Raw genomic sequence first — 8,774 nt, 5'->3', positions numbered from 1 at the left:
TCACATGAAAATAGAATGAAATCACCTGGAACTCTGTCCTGTAGTTGAGTTCAGAATTTGTGATTTTTAATTTTGGCATTTTAATTTTGTGCTGCTTTCAATATAAGCTAAGCATAGCAATCCCACAAAGGCATAATATAACTACTGGAGCTCTTAGCTTCTGCCTTGCAGTGCCCGGCAGTGCTCTTGCATGCTCTGTGAAAGATGCAATCACACAATCGAAGTAATATTTTTCCTGAGGTTCCCTGGGGCAGACTGGTTCTGCAATTTTCCAGTAATTGTTTTAGAAGGACAGCCCTGGATTTGGTTTTTCTATTAGATCTTTCCCCCTGGATTCTTCACACTGTGAAGAATCTTCTCTGTTGCCGGCCTCACTTAAGTACCCGAGATTGGGGTGGAATGGCGTGTACCATTAATTACCCAGTGGGATTTGGTGCCTCTCTGAATGGACTCCCTACTCCACAAATCCCTACTATCTGTGCAGGCTGGAACATAAGTATCTTTCCGAAGTACGTGATAAGGCATCCGGATTCTGTGGCATGAGGAGTGAGTTGCCCTTTAAGATTAATATACTTCTTTTGAGTTCACAACCCCAGAAATAACTAAGGTTTGTGCTTATAGATCTTTTTTTCCCTTTTATTTATCAGCCTTCATAGCAAACCTGTGAAGTTGATAAGCCACACACCATTGCTACGATTATTATTTTTTCCTTCTATTTCATAGGTAAGAAAATAAATGGAGGCTCTGGGTGTTTGGCCAAGCCAAAAAGCTACAAAATGCTAGAATCTGGCTTTTCAGACTCCAAGTCCTGTGCTCTTTTTTTATACAATGCTTGTTAGTGTTCTGGCCATGAGGTTTAATAAATAACATGGGAACAATAATAATAATCCAGTGTCCCCTCCCTTCATTGTCCCCAGAGTTACCAGTGGTTACAGACCCGGACTTCCTGTGAGGCGCCGCTGGTGGTCTGGCGCCCTCTGCTGGTGAAGTTGCCTGGCTTTCTCGTTGCTTGGTTTCCTCAGGATTTTATCTCCATCTTCCTGGCGCAACATCTTTCAGCAGAATGTGCCATTCTTATACGAAGGTAAGAAGCCATTCTGCTGGGCACCTTATTTGAAGAAACACTCAAAGAGAATCAAAGAAAGCAGGACTTGGCATTTCTTCAACAGTATACCCCTGTGTGTGAATGCTCCCCTTTTCCTGCCATCCGCCGAGGGGGCACTTTCAAGTACTCAGTTCCCAATGTGGCCCTGGCCCCCCTCAGCTCTGGCACTCTTTAAATTCCTTTGTCAAGAGAGTGAATATTCTTCTCCAGAACACACCAGGGGAGGCAGCCAAGAGGAAGAGAAGTCTGGGAGCCCTGGAAGAAGTTAGGCAGAAGCGCCTCATCCTCAGGGAGCCAAGATGGAGACGACCCATGACTCGACCCTAAAAAGGCGGGTCAGCTTCTGCAGAGTGGTAGGGAGCACGGGCTCCTGGTGGAAAGAGGCAGGTCTTCATGGACTGGGACCAAGTCCAACAGATCAGCTGAGACGACAAGGCAGGCAAGTAGAAATTGAGTGGAAGTGCTTAAGCTAGAGACAGATGAGTGACTCAACTGGTTAAGATTTGGTTAGTAAAAGGCTAGGGTTCTCAGGTGCTCACTTGAAATTTTTGTTTCATAGTCTTCTGTGGGAAAATAGAAAATAAATTGTGTGGCGGCCCTGCTGCTGTCAAAAGCAGTTGTCAATTTGCATCAGTTGTCAGTTTGCATAGTTTCTAATACACCGTCTAGAAGTTGTTATTAATAATTAGGATTTTCACTCTGATGAGTCACGGAGCAATTTATATAAATTAAAACACACAACATTATCTGGAAAAAGCATCAGAAGAAAGATGGCAAATTACCTATATCAGTGGTTCTTAAAGTGTGGTCCCTGGACCACCATCATAATCATCATCTGGGAACACATTAGAAATGCAAATTCTCAGGCCCCATCCCAGACCCATTGAATCAGAAACTCTGGAGGTGGGCCCGGCAATCTACAGTTTAACAAGCCCTCCAGGTGATTCTGATGCACACTCAAATGTGAGCAGCACTGCCTTAGATTATAGTATAAATGATGAATACTAGATCATTTTCACTAAGGAAGGCCTATAAATGTGATGGTTGGAGGGAAAGGAGGCAGGAATATGAGGCAACAATTTGAAAGACACATGTCTGCTATGTACTGAATAGTAAAGATTGCTTGAAGTTTGACTGTGAGATAAATTGAGCTAATAACAATACCATACAGCTTAAAGTTAAATTGCCATGATCACAAAAGGACAAGGTAGAGAGCCTGAAAGAAATGATGATAACTGGGATTGTTCAGGTCCATTCTGTGATTGTTCTAGGGCATTGCTGTGAGGCTGCCCTGTGTTCTGACACTGTGACCTTCTTTGATAGAAATGCAGGAAAATTATATCTTCTTGAAAAGGTCAAGACCAAAACGATTTCATAGAAAGTAATTTTCTTAGAGGGAAAAAGGAATTGACAATGTCATGTGAAAATTTTATTGAAAAATGTTTATTCAATTTAGGTAATAGTAAATGATAAAGCATCAGAAATGTCTTCTTTAATCTTTTATTAAAAGTGTGATTCATAAGACTTCAATGAAAAAAGATACAAAAGGGCCATAAGCATCATTCTCGTCTTCACCATCCAGTTATTTCTTTCTTGAAAAAACAGCATTTCTTTAACATAGTGTGAGATAATAAAGGGCTTCTGGAGAATTTAGTCCTTATGGCTGAGATTCCTGAAATTGCCAAATAAGTCACTGACTGTCATTTTGTGTGAAGGAGATGAAGAAAAACCTGTTCTCAATTACTGAGCAGCTGGTATGTTTTAATTGTTTGCTTTTTATAAGCAGTAAGATAAAAGGAGTATTCCTTAAGTATCCTTATATGTTATTAATGCAGTGCTTCTCACATGCATTGTGCATCATGATCCCCAGTGAACTTGTTAAAAATGCAGATTGGTTGCCTTTTGAGGTTTTGATTTAGTAGGGATATGATTTTTAACAAGCATCCAAATGATTTTGGTGTAGGTGGTTTGAGGACCACACTTTTAAAAACCCTGCCCAGAGCCTACCCGTAATTTATGTGGTCATTATTTGAGCGTATCTGAAAGTGACTGACAATTTATAAAAAGCCAGTTTAGTGTAGATAAAGACTTAACAGTGAGCAACAGCTGCTTATTCCAGTAGAGCCTTGTTGTTTGGCATTTGGGGAAAATGAGCATTATACATAAGATAATTTCTTTAAATTAATACTTTATTTTTTTAGAGCAGTTTTAGGTTTACAGGAATTTGAGCAGATAGTACAGAGAGTTCCCACATATTTCCTCTCACCTACGTTTCAGTTTCCCTGGGTACACTTGTTACTGTTGTACACTAACACTTGTTAGTATCAAACTGATACTGATACCTTGTTATTAAATGAAGTTCAGAGTTTAGGGTTTACTCTTTGTGCTGTACATTCTATGGGTTTTGACAAGTGTACACTGTTCTGTATCCACCATTACAGTGCCCTACAGAATAGTTCCAGTGCTCTAAGAATCCCCTGTGCTCCACCTATTCATCTGTTACCCACTCCCCTGTTCCAAAGTTTTGGCAACCATCGATCTTTTCATTGTCACTATCCTTTTGGCTATTTCAGAGTGTCTTCTTGTTGGGGTTCAATTAGGTTGGTGGGAAAAATATTAAAGATAGTTATAGTAATAGTCAAAAACTCTCTTGGAAGGCCTGAGAGTTTTTGACTATTACTATAACTATCTTTAAAGGCCTGAGAGTTTTTGACTACTACTATAACTATATTTAATATTTTTCCCACCAGCCTGATTGAACCCCAACACCTTCTATAGATGAATCATATAGTATAGTATATGTATAGTTTGGTAGCCTTTTCAGATGGTTTCTTTTCACTAGGGAACATGAGTTTAAGATTACTTTATGTCTTTAAGTGGCTTGATAGCTCATTTCTTTTTATTGCTGAATAATACTCCGTTATATGGATATACCACAGTTTATTTATCCATTTGCCTTTTGAAGGACATCTTAGTTGCTTTCAGTTTTTTTGCAATTATGAGTAAAGCTACTATAAACATTTGTGGGCAGGTTTTTGTGTGGACTTGAGTTTTCAACTTACTTGGGTAAATACCTAGTTGTGCAATTGGTGAATTGTATTGGTAAGATGAGGTTTCAGCTTTGTTAAGAAACTGCCAAGCTATCTTCCAAAGTGGCTGTACCATTTTGCATTCCCACCATCAATGAATGAGATATTGTTCCACATCCCTGCCAGCATTTGATACTGTTAGTTTTTTTGGATTTTCACCATTCTAATAGGTATGTGGTAGTATCCTACTGTTATTTTTTATTTTATTTTATTTTATTTTATTTTATTTTATTTTTTTGAGACAGAGTCTCACTGTGTCACCCAGGCTGGAGTGCAGTGGTGTGATCTTGGCTTACTGCAACCTCCACCCACCAAGTTCAAGTGATTCTCCTGCCTCAGCCTCTCGAGTAGTTGGGATTACAGGCGCCTGCCACTGCACCTGGCTAATTTTTGTGGAGACAGGGTTTCACCATCTTGGCCAGCCTGGTCTTGAACTCCTGACCTCATGATCCACCCACCTCGGCCTCCCAAAGTGCTGGGATTACAGGCGTGAGCCACCACACCCGGCCTATCCCACTGTTATTTTAATTTACAATTCCCTAGTAACATATCATGTTGAACATCTTTGCATATATTTATTTACCATATGTATATCTTTTTTAGTGAGGTGCTCTGTTCAGATATATTGGCCATTTTGTAATAAAGTTGTTTGTTTTCTTGTTGAGTATTGAGTTCTTTGTAGATTTTGATACAAGTCTCTTATTGGATATGTTTTGCAAATATTTTCTCTCAATCTGTGGCTTGTTTTTCATTCTCTCAATAGTTTCTTTTGTAGAGCAGAGTTTTTAATTTTCATGAAGCCCAACTTACCAATTTTTTGTTTCATTGATTATGCTTTTGGCGTTTATCTAAAAAATTATTACCATACAAAATGTCATCTAGAGTTTCTCCAATTTTTATTTCTAAGAGTTTTATAGTTTTGAATTTTACATTTAGCTCTATGATCCATTCTAAGTTAATTTTTGTGAGGTTGTAAGGTCTGTGTCTGGCTTCATTTTTTTTATGCATGTGGATGTCCAGTTGTTACAGCACCATTTATTGAAAAGACTATCCTTTCTCCATTGAATTATCTTTTGCTATTTAGTTTAATATCAGTTGACTCTATTTGTGTGGGTCTATTTTTGGGGTCTGTGTTCTGTTCCCATGATCTATTTGTCTGTTCTTGTACAAATACCACACTGTTTTGATTATTGTAGCTTTATAGTAAGTCTCAGAGTCAGGTAGTGTCAGTCCTCCAACTTTGTTCTTTTTCAGTATTGGTTTTTGTAGTCTTTTGTCTTTTCATTTAAACTTTAGTTTACATGTTTGTTGATACACAAAATAAGTTGTTGGGATTTTGATTGGGATTGTGCTGAATGTATGTTAGGAAGAACTAACATTTTAACAATATTGAGTATTCCTATTCAGATAAGTTTCTTAATGTGTAAAAATATTTCTCTGTAAGCTTTAAACCTTTAAATATAACAATATTTTAGCTAATACTTATAAAATATGTTAATTTCCTTAACTTTCCAAAAGTTTATGAAACAAAACTTGACCTTTTCCTTATGACTTAAGACCATCCCTGTAAGCTTTATTGTATTGGATGTTAATACAGTTGTATCAACTGCTTATTCTTCTATCTCTCAATTAGGTGTTTAGTTATCATTATGGTTGTTTGGGTGTCTCTGCCACCATCTGCACTGTGGACTCCTTCAAGGCTGGGATTGTATTTTGGCTGTTGATGCTTCCCCAGTCCAGCAGACACTTTATACTTGTTCGTTGAATGAACTGTGATTGTCTCCAACATCCATTTATCTTTTCTTATTTTTCTGCTTCTAATCTGTTGTACTCTAGAAAAACAGAAAAACTTCATTAAGAACTGTATGTTTACAAAGAGTCAATTAGGTTCAAAACAAAGCCCCTCGTACAATCTTTGTGAGAGCCATTGTGGCTTTTAGAGAAGTACAGTGCTACTGTGTATATTCAAACATATAGAAAATTTGAATATCCATGTGTCTTCCATCTAAAAAAAATTGTTAATGTCCTGTCATATTTTCATGTCTCCCTTGCATATATTAATACATACATACACATGTGCTGTGCCATGTGAAAATTAGTAATGAGTTGTAAAGTCCCATATAATTGAACATGCATCATCTAGGAATAAATATGATGGAAATACTTTACTATACCTAAGAAATTAATCATAACGATGTAATATCATGTAGTAGACATTCCATATTTAATTTTTTTCAATTGTTACAATAATATCTTTTTTTGTAATCCGTCCTAAATTCCCACATTGCAGTTGGCAAGTGTGTTGTGTTGTGTGGTGTGATGTGTTGGGTGGTATGATATGTTGGTTGTGCTGTGTAGCCTTATGTAAGTCATTTCACATTCCTGGTAGTATAGGATGATCTCTAGTGTCATTTTGAGCTCTGAGAGTCTATGAGTCTATAATTATAGGCCATTTTAGTTCTATAAGGTTGTGATTTTATTTATTTATTTGTTAGAGACAGAGGCTTGCTCTGTTGCTCTGAAGTGCAATGGTTTGATAGGAGCTCACTGCAACCTCAAACTCCTGGGCCCAAGGAATCCTCCTTCCTTAGACTCACAAGTAGTTGGGACTACAGACATGGATCACCATGCCTGGCTAATATAAAAAAATGTTTTGTAGAGACCAGGTCTGGCTATATTTGCCTAGGCTGATCTCAAACTCCTGGCCTCAAGCAAAACTCCCACCTCAGCCTCCCAGAGTGTTGGGATTACAGGCAGGAGCCACTGTGGTAGCTTTTGTGATTTATTTTATTTATTTATTTTTCTTTTCTTTTTAAATTATACTTTAAGTTCTGGGTTACATGTGCAGAACGTGCAGGTTTGTTACATAAGTATACATGTGCCATGGTGGTTTGCTGAACCCATCAAACGGTCATCTACATTAGGTATTTCTCCTAATGCTATCCCTCCCCTTGCCCCCTACCCCCTGCCAGGCCCCAGTGTGTGATAGTCCCCTCCCTGTGCCCATATGTTCTCATTGTTCAACTCCGACATGTAAGTGAGAACATGCAGTGTTTGGTTTTCTGTTCCTGTGTTAGTTTGCTGAGAATGATGGTTTCCAGCTTCATTCATGTCCCTGCAAAGGACACGAACTCATTCTTCTTCATGGCTGCATAGTATTCCGTGGTATATATGTGCCACATTTTCTTTAGCCAGTCTAACATTGATGGGCATTTGGGTTGGTTCCAAGTCTTTGCTATTGCTAGTAGTACTGCAATAAACATATGTGTGCATGTGTCTTTATAGTAGAATGATTTATAATCCTTTGGGTATATGCCCAGTAATGGGATTGCTGGGTCAAATGGTATTTCTAGTTCTAGATCCCTGAGGAATCACCACACTGTCTTCCACAATGGTTGAACTAATTTACAATCCCACAAACAGTGTAAAAGCATTCCTATTTCTCCACATCCTCTCCAGCATCTGTTGTTTCCTGACTTTTTAATGATTGCCATTCTAACTGGTGTGGGGTGGTATCTCATTGTGATTTTGATTTGTATTTCTCTAATGACCAGTGATGATGAGTTTTTTTTCATATGTTTGTTGGCTGCATAAATGTCTTCTTTTGCAAAGCATCTGTTCATATCTTTTGCCTACTTTTTGATGGGATTGTTTGTTTTTTTCTTGTGAATTTGTTTAAGTTCCTTGTAGATTCTGGATATTGGCCCTTTGTCAGATGGATAGATTGCAAAATTTTTCTCCCAGTCTGTAGGTTGTCTGTTCACTCTGATGATAGCTTCTTTTGCTGTGCAGAAGCTCTTTAGTTTAATTAGATCCTATTTGTCAATTTTGGCTTTTGTTGCCATTGCTTTTGGTGTTTTAGTGATGAAGTCTTTGCCCATGCCTATGTCCTAGGTTTTTTTCCTAGGGTGTTTTTTATGGTTTTAGGTCTTACGTTTAAATCGTTAATCCATCTTGAGTTAATTTTTGTATAAGGTATAAGGAAGGGGTCCAGTTTCAGTTTTCTGCATATGCTAGCCAGTTTTCCCAACACCATTTATTAAATAGGGAATCCTTTCCCTATTGCTTGTTTTTTTTCAGATTTGTCAAAGATCAGACGGTTGTAGGTGTGTGGTGTTATTTCTGATGCCTCTGTTCTGTTCCATTGGTCTATATATCTGTTTTCGTACCAGTACCATGCTGTTTTGATTACTTTAGCTTTGTAGTATAGTTTGAAGTCAGGTAGTGTGATGCCTCCAGTTTTGTTCTTCTTGCTTAGGATTGTCTTGGCTAGACAAGCTCTTTTTTGGTTCCACATGAAATTTAAAGTAGTTTTTTCTAATTCTGTGAAGAAAGTCAATGGTAGCTTGACAGGCATAGCATTGAATCTATAGATTACTTTGGGCAGTATGGACATTTTCATGATATTGATTCTTCCTATCCATGAGCATGGAATGTTTTTCCATTTGTGTCCTCTCTTATTTCCTTGAGCAGTGGTTTGTAGTTCTCCTTGAAGAGGTCCTTCACATCCCTTGTAAGTTGTATTCCTAGTTATTTTATTCTCTTTGTAGCAATTGTGAGTGGGAGTTTGCTCATGATTT

The 8,774-nt window shown here is 38.0% G+C and overlaps 1 annotated feature.

Moving 5' to 3' along the window:
- Window positions 844–1,138: an enhancer, noted in NCBI's record as "tiled region #1651; HepG2 Activating non-DNase unmatched - State 12:CtcfO, and K562 Activating DNase unmatched - State 12:CtcfO". NCBI's record gives its function as "activates a minimal TATA promoter and a strong SV40 promoter by Sharpr-MPRA in HepG2 and K562 cells {active_cell/tissue: HepG2 | K562}" and the evidence as "EXISTENCE:reporter gene assay evidence [ECO:0000049][PMID:27701403]".

The sequence above is a fragment of the Homo sapiens genome, chromosome 6 (assembly GCF_000001405.40).
Source record: "Homo sapiens chromosome 6, GRCh38.p14 Primary Assembly".
NCBI classification, from domain to species: domain Eukaryota; kingdom Metazoa; phylum Chordata; class Mammalia; order Primates; family Hominidae; genus Homo; species Homo sapiens.
Note: the sequence above shows the minus strand (reverse complement) of the source record. Positions and strands in the feature narration are given on the sequence as shown.